The 19,418-nt window shown below is 38.5% G+C and overlaps 1 protein-coding gene across 36 annotated transcripts in view; it reads right to left on the bottom strand.

Annotated features, from left to right (window-relative positions):
- Positions 1-19,418, bottom strand: part of ZNF462 (zinc finger protein 462) — a 153,477-nt gene that overhangs the window by 61,542 nt on the left and 72,517 nt on the right. For all 36 annotated transcript variants that reach the window (XM_047423662.1, XM_047423672.1, XM_047423680.1 and 33 more), the window contains 2 exons: positions 16,472-16,590; positions 12,986-13,177 (listed from right to left, as the gene is read on the bottom strand). In XM_047423662.1, coding sequence (XP_047279618.1) covers positions 12,986-13,177; positions 16,472-16,590 — 311 coding nt within the window. The remainder of the gene's footprint in view (positions 1-12,985; positions 13,178-16,471; positions 16,591-19,418) is intronic.

The following is a 19,418-nucleotide window of genomic DNA, read 5'->3' as shown; positions in this document are numbered from 1 at the left end:
CAAACTCATGGTTCCAGCATCTCCCGTGTGATCTGTACACCATTAAGTAAAGATGATCTATACGGAGAAGTGGGTTCAAAAAGATCATTTGCCCCTAATGTTCACTAGCTCCAGTTGGGTGAAAACAATCCCTCCTGGTATGTGCTCAATCAAAATGAGCCCAGCAATACACCGAAAGAGTCACACTTGATGCCGCTACAGCACCGCGACTCCAAAATTCCACTGGAAAAAAAAAAAAAAACACAACACTGTTATGACTTGGAGAAGAGGTTCCATGGAACATCTGGATGCTTCCCCAGGGTGAGAGTGCCGGATTGGGGCTGAGGCAAGCAAGAAGGCCTGGGGTGGAACTTGGACAGGCTTATGGTACCCTCAAATGTTGCAGATCCGTTGCTGTCAACAACCCTCCTTCCCCTTTTGGATACAGGAAGCCCAGGAGCACAGTGAAAGCTGCTCTGCCTGGGCTAGTGCTGTGCGGCTGGGCTGCTCTCAGTACTTTATTAACAGTGGCTTTATATGGCCAGTCCCAGTAGAGTCACCTCTGTTCATTGGGATTATGATAATTAATATAAAAACAACCACCAACGTGTGCAGCACAGTATAGTTTTGAAAGCTTCTTTCTTACCCTTGTTTTTTGCTTTCTCTCAATTTGGAAAAAGATAATAAATAAATAAATAAATCTTAAACCTACACTTGCACAGAATTACTTCTCCGACCTCAAGTTCTCCAACTCTTATTCTGCTCTTGGCAACACATAGTGGATGATATCTATTTACTCAACGTTCTCTCCTAGGCATGCCGTGATTTAGAAAATACCCCAAAAAATCAGAAGAGAAAGAAGTACAGTGAAAAGTACTATGTACCTTTTTGTTAAGTTATAGGGGTAGAGGCACATAATAATGAAGCTATTCAAAAAGTAACTAAAAAGCTTTCATTTTAAAACAGAAAAAGCAAATCTTATCAATATTTTACTTAAACCTTGAACTTAAATTTTTTTTTTTTTGAGATGGAGTTTCACTCTGTTGCCCAGGCTGGAGTGCAGTGGTGTGATCTCGGCTCACTGCAACCTCTGTCTCCTGGGTTCAAGCAATTCTCCCACCTCAGCCTCCGGAGTGGCTGGAATTACAGGCGCTCGCCACCAAGCCTGGCTAATTTTTGTATTTTTAGTAGAGATGGGGTTTCACTATGTTGGCCAGGCTGGTCTTGAACTCCTGACTTCAGGCAATCCGCCTGCCTTGGCCTCCCAAAGTGCTGAGATTACAGGTGCGAGCCACCACGCCTGGCCTGAACTTAATTTTTTAAAGAGTTATTGTTTTCCAGACTTCCGTTATGGAGATAACATAGCTAAGATGCAACAGTATACTGTAACCATATTAGCAAAAATGATCTTATTTTATTGTCCACAGAACAACACACAGAACTGATCAATTTTAATGTGCTAATAGGGAACTGCACTTACACTTCACTGTCTGCCTGTGGTTTAGTTATGACAATTATTATGTTTCTTCTAATAGACATATTGATGGCATTACTCTTGCTTACATGCAAGGTAGATGTGAATTTCCTCATCTTTCCTTCTCTGTATCCCTAATTAAAAACTTACCCATGGGCAAAATTTTAAAATACTATAAAATCAGAGTAACAATAAAATCACAACTCACAAGGACAATAATTTGTGATTGCCACAGCTACTAACCACACAGCTGCTCACTCCATTTAGTTTGGGACAAGTAAGATAGACTGCAGCTATTTGCAACTTCTAGCACATTGGTTGTGGCTCTATTCCTGTCTCTTTCACTTAAGAAAATACCTTGAAATACTTAGGTGTAAACTGACATTACATAGGGATAAGTCTGACTCAGCTCAAATTTATTTTGAAAAGTAAATTTGATTTGTGATTAACAAAGATATCCTGGAAAACAGATTGGAAAAGATGGAGGTTAGAATCAGAAAGACTGGCTAACATCAGAGGAAGGGCAGGAGTGAAGGTTATTCAGGGTTGGAGTCTGGTAAGTTGGAAACCAGAGGACGAGGGGACGAGAGAAACCAGGATGCTGGAGAAAGCCCCTTTGAAACGGCTAACCCTCTGGTCAGGTCTAGGTTGGATGGGGAAGGAGATCCACCCACAGTGGTCAGAGTAAAGGCAAATTTGAGGTGCTGGAGACGGAGCTGTTATGGTGAATTTGGCCACAGGTGGGCAGCTGGAGGACAGTCAGGAAGGAGACAAATTTCCCTAGCTTAGGCGACTGAAGTGTCTGTTGAGTTATTACCATTGAGTCTAGTCTATTGTAATTCCAGAGCATGAAGATTACATTTGGATTGGAAAGCAAGGCTGTGAGCCAGTCACTGAGTTCATAGAGGAAGACAAAAGAATACTCCAAAAGAGAGGAAGAAAATAAGCAGGAAGCAGGCATTTGAAAAAGGATCATTAAACAAAGGAAGTAGAAGTACTCTGAAGAGGTGGCAGAAAGTAAGGAAGGTACCCACTTGTCTCCGTGGCTGCTTGGAAAAAAAGGAATTAGTTGCTTCATTTGCAGAAAGTTGAAAGGGCTATGGTGTTGCCACTGGGGTGGGAGGAAGGGAGAAGTTAGTTAACTCAAGGACAAGGGAATGATGCATGAAAAGTGCAGTAACATGGGATGGCACATCTTGCTATACACACAGCCAGATTCCATTGGCTTTTTCCAGATTCCCAGGCTTGTTCACACATAAATTGTTCTCTTGGCTTTCCTTGTGTGCGGTTGCTTTTGCTGTCCTAATTCAAAACAATTTAAGAAATATCTATTGAATGGCCTACCCAGTGCTAGGGCTCTAGAAATGAATAGGAAATGGTCCCTGACCTCGGAGAGCACACAGTTTAGCTGGAGACACAGGTAAGGTAGCTAATAATTATAAGAATATTTGGCAAGTCCAGGAATGGAAATAAATGCCAAGGGTCATCAGCTACCCAACTTATTTTGTATTTATCCTTTCACAAAGTCTTATTTCTAGCCCATTACTCTGAACAGTCTAGGCAGTCTGTAATCTTGATTTTTGTCTTTTAAGAACTGTTCACCAATACTGTAAATGTATTAAGTCTCAAGTAAGTAGTGGGGAAACAGACTCTACTTGAGTAATTTTTGAGGAGGTGAGTGAGCCTTAAGATAAAATTAATGAATTTTTGATTGGCAAAATCTCAAAGGCCTTCTATAACTCTGAGAATCCCACCTTAAATATAATATACATATAATTTATTATACATAAAAATATATTTGAAACCTTTAAGTACTCAATATTTATTATTTGAAAAGGAATTATTTTTGCGATATGAATCCTTATATTTCAAAGCTATAGTAAGTCATGTGGTGATGGAACCTATATAGTGAGAGCAAAAACACATGAAAGAAAAATAGTTTGTGTAGTACGGTTCAGTTTTGAAGAAAAAAAAAAAACTAAACTAAATGACAACCTATGTTTGTATACTCATAGAACAAATATCTAGATGACTTCAACAAACTGTGAATAGAGATTATTCTGGGTAGGGAGAGGCTGGCATGATGGGTGACCCTTACATTTTATTATGTATTGCCATAAAGCTGTTCGTTAGTCACGAGTTGGTATTACTTTTGTCATCAGAAGGTAAAAATTCTATGCAGCCATCTCAAAAGAAGGTGACTACTACCCATGACTGATTTCATTGCACATTCCTTGTTGAAGACCTATTGATGCTAGCTGAATGCACTTATAGCTCAAATGTACCCTGGCACTTCCAGAGAGGAAGGAATCTTGCTGCTAGTCTTCCCCATTGAGTCTGTTTCTTAATAAATCCAAAGTCCTCTTCCCAGTGTTAAGTACTCCTGTCGTCTGGCTCTACCTCTCCTTCCTTCACTAATTACCCTTCCACTAACCTCACCACACATCCTTTGCTCCAGCCACACTGGATTTTTGCAGTCCCAGGATCCTTTCTCCTGTATCTCTGCTCATGTCTGATACTCCTTCCATCCACCTGCATACATCCACTCACCCTTCAAGTCCAGCTTGAGTACTGCCTCTTCCATGAAGCCCTACATGACTCAATTCCTTCTCCTATCCAAAGTTATAGCCATTCAAATGCAGATATACAATTTCTCACTTTATTCTATTCTGGTCTTTTAACTTAATATTATCTGTACATCTGTTAACTTAAGCTCCAAATATCAATAAGTAATAAACACTTGTCTTTCATTTCCTGTAGAAGATTCCAGAGCCCACAGACATATAAGCAGCCAAGGCTTCACCACTCTGGATCATTTCTTGGGTATGTGTTTTTGCTACTAGACCCCACTGAGGCACAAAGTTCAAGGGCACAGGCTCTGGAATTGGACAAACCTGTGAATGAAACAGCTCTACCACGTACATGCTTTGTGATGTCTGACTCACCATTTCACTCCTCGTGCCCTTCTCTTTCAAATGAGATTAATCATTTATACCTCCAATGCATTAGACATATTAAAGCAGATGACATATTTAAGGCAATTGGTAGAATTTTAAAAAATAAGAATTATTTTTCATCACTTGGGAATTGAACAAAGAGACATGCAGAACCGTTATGTAAACCAGAATGGATGACTTTCAAACTGGCCAAAGGGGAAAAAAATAACTAGCAGTGCTAAAAATCAACACATAGGTTAAGAGTTTAGAAGGTCCTGCATCTCTTCGATGTGGCTATCATAGCAGCTCTGGTGGAGGACTCACAGTGCATCAAAATAAAAGATGACATAAGAGAGTGAGTGACCTGTGCGAGTCATCTAAGAATGTTTTGTGTCCCCATGGAAGCTGAAGAACCTAGCCTTGGAATGACTTCTCCACAAGCAGTGTGCTGGGAAATGAAACTTTAGCTGGGCCCTAAATTCTCAGCCAAACACTTCCTTTGGGTTGAACTTGACGACTCGGAAACTGTTTGCAAAGTGGAAGAGCCCCAATGGCAGGAACATATCATTTCCTGAGCCTAAACAGAAACGGACTGAATCCAGCAGAGAGCAAGCAGATTCTCCCAGCTGTATACTTGCCCCTCATGTCACTTTTGGCCATTTGCTATTTCACCATTTTTGTTTAATCACCACCACTGGGATTTTTCTGTTGGTTGTTATTTACGGTTAACAAAACATGTTAACAAAAATATGTGTACAACATTTGGACATGCTTTCCTGGGACATACAATCAGAATGTATGTAATTTATTTTTTCAAAAAAATAATTGTAGCTAAAAAGTTATTTCTGGCATCTTATTCTCACCTCCCACTTTTATTTTATTTTATTTTTATATTTTTGTAGAGATGGGATCTTGCTATGTTGCCCACGCTGGTCTTGAACTCCTGGCCTCAAGAGATCCTCTTGCCTCAGCCTCCCAAAGTGTTGGGATTACAGGCACGAGCCACAACACCGGGGCTCTTCACACTTTTAAAAAAATTATTTTTTTACATACCCATCTTTCCGAGGACATACCCTCGACTCTAGCAAGGCTGTTGCAGGATTTCTACCTCTAAATCATGGCTCACTCTTGTGACTTCTCCCAACTCAAATACCCTTCCTTCTGCCTATGTAAAATCCTCTCACACAGAACAGAAAGACTGGAGAGACCTATGAGTCATAAGAAGTCTCAAGACAGTTTGAGGGATTTTTATCTCAAGTAAAATTGGGCTAAAATACTAGCTTCAGCTCCAGGGACAGAAAATTTGAAGTGGGCAATGAGAAGACAAGGAAAAATTCTTTCTTTTAAAAAATAACTGAGATTAATTGCTTTAGATGATTCAGCTAATGACTGACATATTTTTCTGCTAAAGAATAAAGTAGATTTCTTCTCTTTTAGATACTTTCCACAAATGAGGTCTGGAAGACTTGAAGTAATCTCCAAGCAGTTCACCCAGAGATTTGAAAGTCAGATGTGGAATTATGAAGCAAACTCCAGTGTTGCTGGGAACTAGTTCTGAATAAGTTTAGTAGTATATGGTTACATTTCTGATGAACAATGTTTTTGTTGGCATGGGAACAGGGAGATGAATTAGTTGACTAAGTTCCCAGGACATGGAAAGCCTATACTTGAAATGTTTTCATCTCTGGCACAAAGGATGATAGCAGCCACAAAACTATGGCTAATTCAAAGTCACAGAAATCCCAGGCAGGTTGGTATCTTGGGAAGCGTGTATCACGTGACCTTTGAGTTCAGAGTGGTGATAATATTGGAGGGTTGCTCTTTGCCACTGAGGCAGAGTCTTAACATTTAATCCCTGTAGATTTCCAGGTAATAACAGAAGATTCGGGGTCTTCAATGCCACTTTGCTCCACTGAAGTTGCAGACCTCTTAAGTCTTTACAGTAGAAATATAGAAACATAGTAAGTGTTAAAATGAACTTTAGGCCACATTTTGATGGAGAAATTCTGATGTCAAAAAGAGAAGGTTAGTTAGTATCTGGTCAGATAATTTTGAGACCAGCAGAACCTATTAAAAATTATAGTCAAGCCATTAAAATTATGTCTTACATCGCATGTGCTATAAACGATGTAAATTTTTGTATTTTACAATTAATTATTCACTTGGGAGTCTCCATTTCATGATTGTCGTTTTTAAAGAAACCACCTCATTTTTTCTTTTAATCTGATTGCAATTGGAACCTGTGTGGAAGGGCTGATGCCCTAGCAACTAACTGGATCCTCTTAAAGGCTGAATTTTATGTCTGACCTATTTAGATATCTGAAAAGCTTCTCTTCAAAAATAAAGCATCCCAGATCTTAATTTTTTAGTTGTCAAGCATTGCTGCAGCCAAGGTTAAATGAGTTGATAGACTCAACATAATTCTTAGAGAAGGGTTTCCTTTTAAGCTTAAATGTAATTCATGCACAAATATTTTTAAAACTTCATCTGATACCTTACATTTCATATATGAATCTAATAATATATTTAGGTCAAGTTACATTTTTAAGTGACATCTAGGAGTATTCCATATGTTAAATATAAAGGCTCAGAATGACATTTATTAAAGACTGGATTAATCTCATGGGTATTGCTGTAATTATTCCCCCCAATCATCTCATCTATGGCATGGGTTAGTGAAGTATCATTCATGGGCCTTTCCTTTGTTTTTGTACATAAAGTTTTATTGGAACACAGCCATGTCGTTTGTTTACATATTGTCTATGGCTACTTTCACGTTACAATGGCAGAATTAAGTAGTTGTGACAGAGACTGCATAACCTACAGTGCTGAAAATATTTTCTGTCTGGCCCTTTTTATAGAAAAAAATTGCCAATAAGCCGGCACAGAAAGACAAATACTGTACATTCTTATGTCCTATGTAGAAGCTAGAAAAGTTGATCTCATAGAAGTAGCAAGTAGAATAGTGATTACTAGAGACTGGGAAGGGCATTAGGGTGGTAAATAGATACACAATTATAGCTGGATAGGAGAAACAAGTTCTAGAATTTTACAGCATCTTAAGATAACTAGAATAAACAACAACTGATTGTATATTTACTAACAGTTTAAAGAGCAGACTTTGAATGTTTCCAACACAAAGAAATGATAAATGTTTGAGGTGATGGAAATGCTAGTGACCCTAATTTAATCATTACACATCATATGCATGTATCAAATTATCACACTGTATGCTACAAATGTGTAATTATTATGTGTCAATTTAAATTTTTTTAAAGGAAAAAGTTTGCCAATCTCTAATGTTTAGAAAAACTGAGTCTCACCAAATGAGTCTCTTCTTCTAACCAATATATTGTTTTAAAAGTCTGATGGGAAAAGTTTTCAGGTAGAATAGAAAGCTCTACTCATTGACAAGTTTTGTTGGTCAGTTTATCGCTATATCATCTTTGAATCTGAATTTAACTGCAACCAAACACTGTATATTGACAGAGACACAGAGAACAAATTAGCCCACTCTAAGATCAATAATTGTGCGCACTTGCTCCAAGAAGCAACTCTGCTAACAGCTGACCATACTAGAAATGTTCATTTCTCCAGCTCCATCATACTTTCTATATCATTCTGAGGGACAGAAGGGTTTATACCCTGTCTCAACCTTCAGCTTCCCACCTATACAGGAGGTCTCATCATGCAGGGAACAATGACAATATTTAAAACGCTCTTTGTCAAGGAAGATTTTTTTATCTTGGCAGAGTAATTGTGTCAGAGAATTAATGTTAGAGCATTCCCTAAGGTTTCATCTTCAGATTGTCTTTTGATCTGCCTCTTAAATGGAAATGAAATAAACTCAGCCTGTGTAATTTGGTTAGTGGAGTTAAAATGTATTTGAGGACCCAGTACAATTAACAGAACTGAAAACTGATGCCTCCAAGATACCACTGGTCCATGAAAAGAATAAGTATTTAATAAGTACTTACCTAACTGTCCATATTGGAAAATTAGGGGACAGAAAAAAATAGCATATCTGCAAGTACTAATACAGCACCAGGAAGAGTAATAAGAGTAGTTTGGGGCCAGTGAAAATCAATCCTTAAAGGAAGTGAAAGTCATGGACTAGTAGAGAGAAGCAGACAGGAAAGAAATCCACCTAACCTCCCAGCAGAGCTTACTGAAAGTGAGTAGAAGTACAAAGGAAGACATTAAATGCTTAGGGTAGTAAGTAGAGAGATGGTAGGAATGTCAGTATTTGCTAGTGAAGCCACTGTGCAATGGAGAAAGCATGACTAAATGGTGAACTTTGGATGCAATGCTGAAGACTTTGATATGACAGACAATAAGTACATGTGGTTCCTTGATGAGAAATGTCTTGATAAAAATAGTGTTTGTCAAATATTATTCTAGAGTTTAGAGCAGAAAAACCAATTGAAATTTATTTAAAAATCGGTACAAAAGGAAATTGCCAAGCTCCTTGCAACATTTTTCTATTAATTCACAATATCACAGACTTCTCTTTTGGGAGGACTATATCAAGTTCTATATTATAAATGGAGGGGTATCACAACCAAGTGTTCTTTCTGTTTTCTCTGGGTTGCTAACTAAGGCACCAGCAAACACACACACACACACACACACACACACACACACGCGCGCGCAAAACAAAACTATGTTACCATCATTCACCTTATTCATTTTGCACCTGGTCTGATTTTTGTTTTTGTCCTAAATGCATCATAGTAACTATTTTCTAAAGCAGGCAATTCCATAGCATAACTGCATAGATAGATGAAACAAAATAACTTATTAGTCCCCGGGAGAAACTAGAGGGAGGAAAAAGATGGAATGTCACCACTGGCTTGACTTCTTATAAAACACATAGTTGAATTTTAAGTTACGTATCCATTGCCCATGTCCTGTGTAGCTTCTCAGACCTAAAACAAATCTCATAGCTAAACTACGCTGTCCTAGTTTCTTTGTTATTTTACAGCTGTGCCTATATGTGTATTTTTCTGTACTGAAAGCAGAGACTTGGAAATAGCCGGATAAAAGCTAGTCCTGTGTTGTATATGGCAGGAGAAGGAACACAGTAAACACAAACACAGCAGAGCATTTCCCTTTGTTGACAACCTTATTGTTTCCTCTTAATGCATTGTTTAGAATAGCAATTACATGTCATTGCCCATTATCTTATACACAAAACCAATACCATAGAGCCGTTGCTTTTCTTTCCAACAACTGATCATCATGAATATATAGAGGATTCGTGTGCTGGTGAAACATGTCAACACTGACAGCTCAGAGCCCAAGAGCAGGGCTGAAGCACAGAACAGGTGTGTGGCCAGGCAGCTGGAGTGAAATCTCCCCTCTACCTTCTCATTTTTGCTTTCTCCACTTTCCTCCCTCCTCTGGGTTGGGAGGGAGAGCAGCTTAGAAAGAACCTCCCTTTTCAGGCTGTTTCCCTCTGCCAGAGAAGACTGGCTCACTCTCAAGACGGCAAGCATTTGACCACTGCAAATAACAGGAGCATGTCAACTTGTTTTATTCACATCCCTCACTACGGAATCAGAAAGCCAAAGACACACTGGTGATTTCCCTGGTTTTATGGATCTTGACTCCCCCCAGGCCTGCAACACATTTTTGGTTGGTGTGTTCACATTGTCCTGGCATCTGCAGTGTGGGAAACCTTAACTGTGAGCCAATAGCCCCACAGCTTCTCTCTATTAAAATGTGCAATTGGATTTCACATGAGTGTTTCAAACACCATTCAAGGCCTAATTTACAGGCTACTATCTAGCCCCACAGCTGTTTTTCCATCCTGTAGACTTAGCTGTTTCTAGGAATCCACCATCCGGCTCCTTAGCAAAGTCTTCCCACTTTGGGCCTGCCCAGCCACTCTTGGCCATGCAAAACTATACAAAATCTATAGTAAGGATTCAAGAAAATACTTACTGAATGAACAATTATTAACTACTCTTTCCACAGAATTATTCATTCATGTGAATAGCCTTCTTTTTGTTTACCTCATCTAATCAGCTTTTATGTCATCAAATTAATCACTGCTGATCCATTGATATAGGTCATTTATATACATTAAAAACAGTACAGGCCCAATGACTTTTGTGTACGGATCACTAAATAGTTACCACACAGAGCTTTCAGTTACTGTGTTCTTTCATAAGGATAAAAGTAAGAATCCCTTTTATATATTGCAAATTATTTCCCTGTGGCTAAACAAAAACAGAATATCTATGTTATAGAGAGAGCTACTCAACGTCACTTTGTCATATTTCTGTGACACCCACTCCTCCCCACAGTCCATCCTCCAAGAATCTGAAATCACTCCACAAATAGATTAGGCCTGAGGCTTAGGGTTATGGTTAGCTCAAATGTAAGCGCTAATAGTATCATCTAAACAGTTGATTTTAAGTTGTCGGAGGGCCAGAAAAATACTATACTCATTTCTGATTCTTCCGTGCATAGTACAGCCCTCAGAAGAGAGTACAGGCTCAAGAGTATAACTGAACTCAACTCTTCTCAGTCTATGCAGAGGATGATGATACATGCAGTGGGTGGGTTTAAAGGATTCCCTTGACCTCTGACTGAGACCCACCTTTCAAGGAAGACAGACAAAGGAAAAAGAAGGTATGACATTGAGAAAAATGTCCCAGCAAAAGCCTTTGCTAGCAATGGCACTGAGATGAATCTGTTTCATCCAAACAGCTCCACAAATGTAGCTTCCATGTCAGATGAAAACAATTAATTAAAAATCACATTAATACAGATCCTACAATTTGAGTCAAGTTAGATTTTGCCCTTCTGGTTGCAATATACCAACCTTTCCTGGTGAATAGAAGATTTCAGGTGAAAAGGGGACATTTTCTTTACCCTTCCACAGGTACTCTCACCCAGCCCTAGATGTGTGACTCTGAATTTTCCCAGAAGAGAAAAAAAAAACACTACAGGCTTCCTTCCCCATTTTAAACTACTACACAGTAGCTAAGGAGATTGTGTGGTCACTTCATTACAAGTCGTAGCCATCATAACAAGCCTTCTTTGTTAAACAGAAGTCCTTTAAGGCCGGGACACCAGTAAGGAGCTATAGTGTTGAACACTATAAATGATTTGCAAAGGAAAGACCACCAAGCTTCAAAAATTTTTTAAAAAGCAGCTTTTCATCTTAGGACTTACCATTTCATTTCCTCCTACAGGTGTCTGCTCACAGACCTCATGAATAAAGATTACTCATTTACTCTTTTGGTAATCTGAGAATTAGACCATGTTGACAAGTTGGGCTGTCAGATCATCAGGTTATCTGAAGAGTCTCTTGTTTTAAACACACACATTAAAAATAACCAAAATTCGTACTTGTTATAAATGGTCCCAAAGGCCAGAATTGCAACCAAAGGATGAAAAGTACAGAAATAAAACGGCCTTTTATTAAATTCCTACTATGTGTCAGAGGCTGTATTAGGTATTTTACAGGTGCGTATCTTTTCTCATTAATCTCTGAAGATAATCAGTTGAGGCAGATATCACTATACAATTTTACATACGGCTACAAGAAGCTAAGATTGCCCAGGGAAACGTGACCATCATCGAGAGAAGTGAGATTCAAACCCAAGCTTTTGTTCTGCTTTCTTTCCAGTCCACTAAGCTCCTCCCAAGAATGTAACAGTAGATCTTGGGAGACAGTCATTCCTTGACCTGGGAAGTACTCAAGCTGATGGTAGCTAACTGGCTCCCGCAGAAGGGATTCAAGAATTAGAAGGGGTTGGAAGAGAGCAGGTCTACCTCGAAGAATCTGCAGACTTCCTCTCCTTCTCTTCTAAGCAGCTGATTCTGCAATCATTTGAGGTGAGATGAGAAATCAAGCAGGTCTGCTTCCTGGTCTTATAAAAACAATAAACTATCCCTTTGCTTACTATGCCATATCTGCAGGCCCTAAGGTCTGGACTCTTTCTCTCCCCTACAGCTTTGGTCACATTGCTAGCGAGGAGACCCTCTCCCTGGCTTCCTGTATTTCTTCTGAAACTCCAAAACTAAACAGTAAAACTCTCCTCCCAACTCATGCCTCCTTAGCATCCTTTAGCTGTAAGAAATCCCTATGTCACCCCTAAGGTATCACGTGGCTCAGTCAGACACACTTCCCCACTCATTCACCCTTTGCACTCCTACTCTGAATTTTGTGTCATTAATGTACATACCTGTCTCCCCAAACATTTCGCAGCACATATTTTTAGAACAAGACAGGATATAAATAAAAACAAACAAATTGGCCTGGTACTGTATTCGCTTTCTTGCTTGAAACCACAGTGGAACGATCCAAAACTAATCCATCCCACTTGACAGGCTCTTTCCACTAGCAACACTCCCATGAGCACTGAATTCCATTTTCATCATGGCGTCACACAGATGCTCAACAAGTTCATTTCCCCTTCCCACTCCAACTTCCACACCATTTCAACTTTTTCATATTTCTTCCTTCACTTGAACCATCATGTTTTCACATAAGATTTTCCTCTAAAAAAAATGATTGGCAATGAATCCCAGCCCACCTCAACCCTGAGTGGTTAATTCCAGCTTGGAAGCCCATTTTTACCATTGGAGTCTTCCACTTCTTCAGCCGGGGTAGCTTTTTGGGAGGAGTGGTGGGAGTGTGAGGAGAGGAGACTGACGATCCGTGGCCTGGGGAGGGTCAGGGCTTTTCCGTGGACCTTGAGGGAGTGTTCCTTCAGCTGGCTGATTGTCATGGTGGAGAATGAGCACCAAGAACACTTGTAGGCATGCTCACCTGGAAGAGGATGGTGACAAGAAATAGAACAGGAAAAAGAGGGGAGAAGGGTATAAGGCCAGGGTGGAAACAAGATAACTCAGTTAACTCATGCTAGAGAAGCGCATCTCAAGCTTCATGTTCTATGAACGAACCTCACAGACCAACAACCTGCCACAACCACAGTACTCCTTTGGAGTTGAAACTCTTCCATGAGCTCCAGAATCTAGTGAACTGGTCCTTTTTCATTTTGGGCTCTGCTTACAGGAGTGAAGCTATGAATTAATTCCCCAATAGGAAGTCAAACCCAACTGCCCATGATACCTCCTTTAGAAAAATTTCCAATCCCTTTCCCTCCCTCTCTACACTAGAAATGACCATGTCAGGTTTCATTCAAGGTGGCCTTTTTGTCAGTCCCAGAAAATAACATGCTTAATTATTATTCCAAAGATCTATTAGTGGCTTTTTAATCACAAAGTCATTCAGTGCAAGCTCTGTTGTGCTATTCTATTCTGTACTTCCTTGCTAACTATACACATTCTCATCCCACATATATATATTTTTGGACCAGTTCATAAACCTCAGCATAGAACTCCATTTCCTTATCTAGTCAATAGCACAGAAATGGGTAAAAATAAGTCATTTCTCTAAGGAAGAGAGCTGTATATGTAAACATGGGGGTTTAGGGGGTACAGTGTGTGTGTTTATCTCCAATATTCTTCAATAAAGACTGCCTCTCAGTAAAAATAAGCACTACTTTTAAAATTAATTTTATGCCACTGAAATACAACACAGATCACCATGACCAAATTAAGTTAAAGTGTGATTTACCTTCGCCATATATTACCTGTTAAATTAATTACATTTTAAGAACTAAGAGTGTGAAGTGGGCAGGCTTAAATTGTTGGACATATATACACTGGTAAGATCAATTCAGAAAGCCATTTTGCTTTTAAGAACAATAGACTTAGAAATGCTCATGTTTCCAACCCAGTAACTCCATTTCAAAGAGTAATAAGAAGATATCCTTTAATAAATATAAAGTTTTACTTAGAAATATACATCATTTATGCTTGAAAAAGGTATGAAATAACCTAAATTTACAACCATAAGGAAAAGATTAAGTAAATCTGGGCATATCCTATTGATGATTTATTTTATTCAATTAAAATAAATTCTTGGAGTTTATAATAACATAAAAATAAAAGTAAATACAAAGGCTAAATATATATATTCAATTGCATTAGAATTACAACTATTAAAAATAATTACAGAGAAAATGACTGAAAGGAAATATATGAAATGTTAACAACAGTGGCGTTTAGATAACAAGATTATGAATGACTGTATTTCTTCTTTCATTTCCAAACTTTCTCTAATGAACATGTATTTTTAAAATTAATTTTTAAGGTGACATTTAAAACTCAGAGAAGAAAAAAGAGAAAACAGAATCATAAAGTTTTGTGGACCAGTGAAAATGAACAGAGGTGTGGTCTAAGGATTAAAAGTAAGAAAAACAGGTATTGGAAGATCATTCTTTGTCCCTACATTTCCGAGATTATTATTTTCCTGCCACCATGAAAATTACTAAATGGGTTCACATGTGAAGTGAGTATAGCATCCAAGTTCTGTAATTAAGCCTTCCTCTCACCACGGATGAATATATATATGACAATATATAGAATACTACTGCCCTCTTTATTCTATTTTTTCATTTTTTTCTTTTAATGCAAGCTTGGTTGTGTGAATATTGCTGGTGGCTGTGAGTTGCACGACCTGAGAGAGAATTCAAATCCAGATGTTTGGGTTAGCACACATTACCTTTTCTTCTTTAAAATAAAATAAAATAATCTATCTAGAAAAGACAAGATGAGTCAAGAGTCTTTCAGAAAAGGTACTGGCTTTTTCCAAGCCAAGCCCCACTCAGTCACTCAAAGCAATGTCATGGAGGCCAAGGTTCCAAGGTATGTCAAGAACTGAATTACACTGCTCCCAATCTCTCTTACTGGATGCTCTCTTCCTGCCAGCCAGTGAGTACAGGGAGGCCAGTTTTTTGGGTCAGTTCCAAGAGCAGACACTTCAGCTTAATACGCTGGCATCAGTGTGCAGGCTCTGATGCTCTCTTCAAGTCTTTCCCACAGGCCGAATCATCTCTTCCCAGCTCTCGCTGGTAAAAGTGCTTTTGACAAGGCTAAGGCCTATGGGCAAAACTCACCAGGATAGTGTCCCAGCTGGATAATTTACAATATACACAAGTTAGAAAACAGTGATTTGAACCCTGAAGCCACTCACTTCAAGGACTTTAGTAGAAATTTCCCAGAGACAGAAAAATACAAAAAGATAGAGAAAAGCCCCTATAGCTAACTTCCCTGTCCCATTCCTTACTCCTAGTGGAGTTTGAGGCAACTGGGAGACCTGGGTAATCTTACTGCATTAAGTCAGTTCAACAAAATCCAACACTCAGAAGACAATGAAGAGACATGGTCCTGTTTACACAGAGCATGAGGAGCTGGCGAAAGTGAAGGACCCAGGTTCTGAGCAGTTCTTACAACACTGTTCAAACTGTGACCAAGGGTTATACAAGGCACAAGGAATGTGACACAATGCCTCCCCTTTAGGACGATTATAGGACTAAAGAAGATGATGCATATAACACGCCTAGTGCACAGCCTGGTGGGTAAGGGTCATGACACATCAGACGTCAACAACAGTGGTCTTCAGATAAGATTATAGATGACTGACTGTATTTCTTCTTTCATTTCCAATTTTTTCTAATGAGTAATGAGATGGAACAACAATATGATAGAGACCAGCACAGCTGCTGGACACTCACAACCCAAAGTCATTTCTGTCTTATGTACGGAAACATATCTAAGGGTATCTCTTGAAAAATCTCACACATCTTGAGTTCCCTTTGCCCTTTCTAACTTCCTTAAGTTGGTAACTTTATTTTAGCTGGAAAGTCTTTTTAATAGATATAACAATTCTTGGCAATTGAATTAGAAAGTATAGGCAGTTTAGAAATTTCTGTAAAAATCACCAACAGTCTAATTCTAACTTGTCAGTAGGACGAACGAACTAACCATAACATGGGTGACATAGGCTTTGTATTATTTTGGATTTAGGTGATTTTGTTTAACTTTTACTTTTTTCTTTATTTTTTCTTTACTAGGTAAAAATAAAACTGAATATACATCCATCCCAAGAATAACATTCTCAAGTGTAAGGCAGGACAGTATTTCACTCAATAAAGATCATCAGGTTTCAAACTCAGAGAGTGCTAAAGAACTTGTGCATCATCAATGCACAACTCACCAGCATGAGCTTTGAGTATATGTGTTTTCAGCCGGCTGTTATAGGAGGACTTGAAGGAGCAGAGTTTGCATCGGAATGGTTTATGGTGTCCGTGGTGGGTTTGCATATGGCGATCCAAACTTGATGTAGAAGGAAAACAAAAAGAAAAATGACAAAATTAAAAATTGCATAGAGGATTTGCTCATTGCTTTTTTTCCAGGAATCCTACTTCTAGGTCGTTCAAAGTCCTTTTGTTTACTTTCCAATAATGGCATTTATCAATTTAATTAATTAATTTTCAAGAGTTGTACCTACTCTAAGAGGACAGGAAGCTAAAGGAAGAGATCAAGAGTTTTTTTTGGATTTAGAGATATGGCAGTGGTAACAGGTCATGGTAAGAATCTTTATTGTCCCTTCTTAGAGCTCTGATCATTGGAAGAGTGTATCTAAAGAGAAGGTACAATATGGGTGAATTCAAGCTTCCTGCCAAGCCAGTGAGAGTGCCTATCAATTAGTCCTCTAACTTATTCAAATAACAGAATGGGAATTAGAGAAATTTAGCATTTGAAAAGAGCTGACTTTCTTTTTGAATTCTAATTCTACTTTCATTGTGAACACTAGAGTGAGGAAGGGAGGTTTCGAAGTGGCTGACCTTCTTGCAATGGGCTGTCTTGTTGCCAGGGTCTATATTAATATGGAGGCACAGTGCATGCATGTTTAAAGGAGCCACGTGGTCAAAAGGCCGCACATCCCTTCTGATACACACAACCATGTTTGCTGTAAGTCTTCCAGAAGCAATTTACAAGGGAGTTATTTAATTACAACGAACCCCTAGTACTTCATAATAATTATTAGCCTAAAAAAATAATAAATCTACCAAACAAGGTGTGGGAAGTTCTAATTTGTATCAGCACTCCAGAGAACTAAATTCCCTTCTAAATGCCTCATGTGGGAACGGTACTGCTTACCATTTCAACATATAATGCTGTCCTGAGCTCCAAAGCAACATTTTCAATTGCCCCTGGACAGCTCCCTCTGGGTGTCCTTTAGTTCTCTTTAACTCAACCTGTTCTAAACAAACCCATCAGAGAGTTTTCTACAAAACAAATTCTCTTCTTCATTTCCTTGTTTCTATAAATGGCACTAACCTTTCTTCCAGATGAGTAAACTGAAAACCTAGTTGCCATTTGTATTTTACTTTGTCCCTCATCCCACGCATGAAGTCAATTTTTCCAAGTCAGGCAAATCCATTCCTTCAATCATTCCCTAACTTCTTGAACTAGCTACTATTATTGCTTCTTAATTCCTTGTCCCCCAGCCCCCATGGATTTTTTTTTTTTTTTTTTCATCTCAAGAGCACACGCTATGGAGTCAGACTACCTGGGATAAAATCTCAGCCATTACATATAGGCTGTGTGTCCTTGGGCAAATTACTTAATTTTTCTAGGCTTTACTCTTCTTATTCATAAGATGATAATAATGGGGCCATACCTTATAGGAGAGTTTTGAGAATGAAATTAAGTAATATTTAAAGGCCCTTAGTACAGTGCCTGGTATATAGTGAGATGCAATAAATGTTAGCAATTATAATTATTTTGCTAATTTGACTCTTCCTTTTACCAGCAATTTAAATTATGAAATACTATTTCCTGGCATTTAAAACTCCAAATATGGTCTCCTTTAAAGTATTTAGACCTTATCTTTCACTATTCCTTTACATGTAACTTAAGGATTAGTCAAACTGAACCCCCAGCTAGGGCCCCAGTCAGCTTCATGGTCTCCTCCCTCAGCTTTTCCTCTACATCATATGTCCTTTCCAAACTATTCAAGTCCTATTTTCCTACTTTAAGACTTCACCCAAATGCTCCTTATGCCATAAAACCTTCCTGACTCTTCCAAAGCTGATGTAACATTTCTCTTCTTTGACACATCATAGTATTTTACTGATATTTTCAAAGACGTGCTTTATTTTGATGAGTCAGTGGGTTTTGTTTTGTTTTTTTTTAATTTCATAAACCAACCCTTGACCCTAAATTCCCCTGGCCACAGACCATGGCCTGTGTCTTTATATTTCCCAAAAGTACAGTACCTAGGACAGGATATATTCATTTATTCACAATTATTTAAAGTTCCACTGTGCGTCAGACAATGTGATAGATGCTGTTCAATAAATACTTCTTGAATTGAAGTATTTCAAGTTTTATGCCAATGTATGGATCTGATGACAAAGATTAGATATTAGGCTCTGTATAATAATAAAGTGTTTACAACCCATCCTAACCTCTGTGAAAACACCACCTCCTTCTTCTGTTCAACAACCACTAACTGGCCCTTTATCTTTTGTAAGAAGCAAATAGTCCATCATTTATTTCATTAAAAAAATTGTTTTAAAAAGCATGTCAGTCTTAGTCACCTTTATCCAAGACTGTCCAAACGCATTATTGAATATTTATCTCTCTTTTACACGGCTGAAAGAGAAAGGCAACAAAAAGTTGTTCTTAAAACCACCCCTCTTTCCATGGCCCCAAAAAGCCTTACACACCTATTCCATATTTACACTTTCAAAGCTGTGATGAGTAATGGGAAGCTCCCTCTCCTCAATCTCCCTGTATGTCAAGCAACTCTTTGGCATCCATGAACTTCTTTACCTTTCAAGATCTTTTGAAAAATTGCAAGCAATGTTTCTTTGGTCACATGGGTTAATAGTCCTAATTTTACCTCTTTAGCAACTCAGTTTTCTAAATGGACTTTACTTCCTCAAACAATGACTAGATTTTGGCTGAATGTTTGAACGATGAATCAGGAGACTCATCTACTCTCCACAGATGCCATTTTACCTTTGGGTAAATCATAGCAATTCCTCCAATTCTCATTTTTAAAATGCCTGCATTTGCCAAATCTAACGCCATCCGATCAATCTCCTGTTCTCAGCCCCATTTTACAGAAAAGGTGACTGAGGCTCCAGGTA

This window comes from Homo sapiens, chromosome 9 (assembly GCF_000001405.40).
Source record: "Homo sapiens chromosome 9, GRCh38.p14 Primary Assembly".
Lineage (NCBI taxonomy): Eukaryota > Metazoa > Chordata > Mammalia > Primates > Hominidae > Homo > Homo sapiens.
The sequence above is the reverse complement of the archived record's forward strand: the minus strand, read 5'-3'. Positions and strand labels throughout refer to the sequence as shown.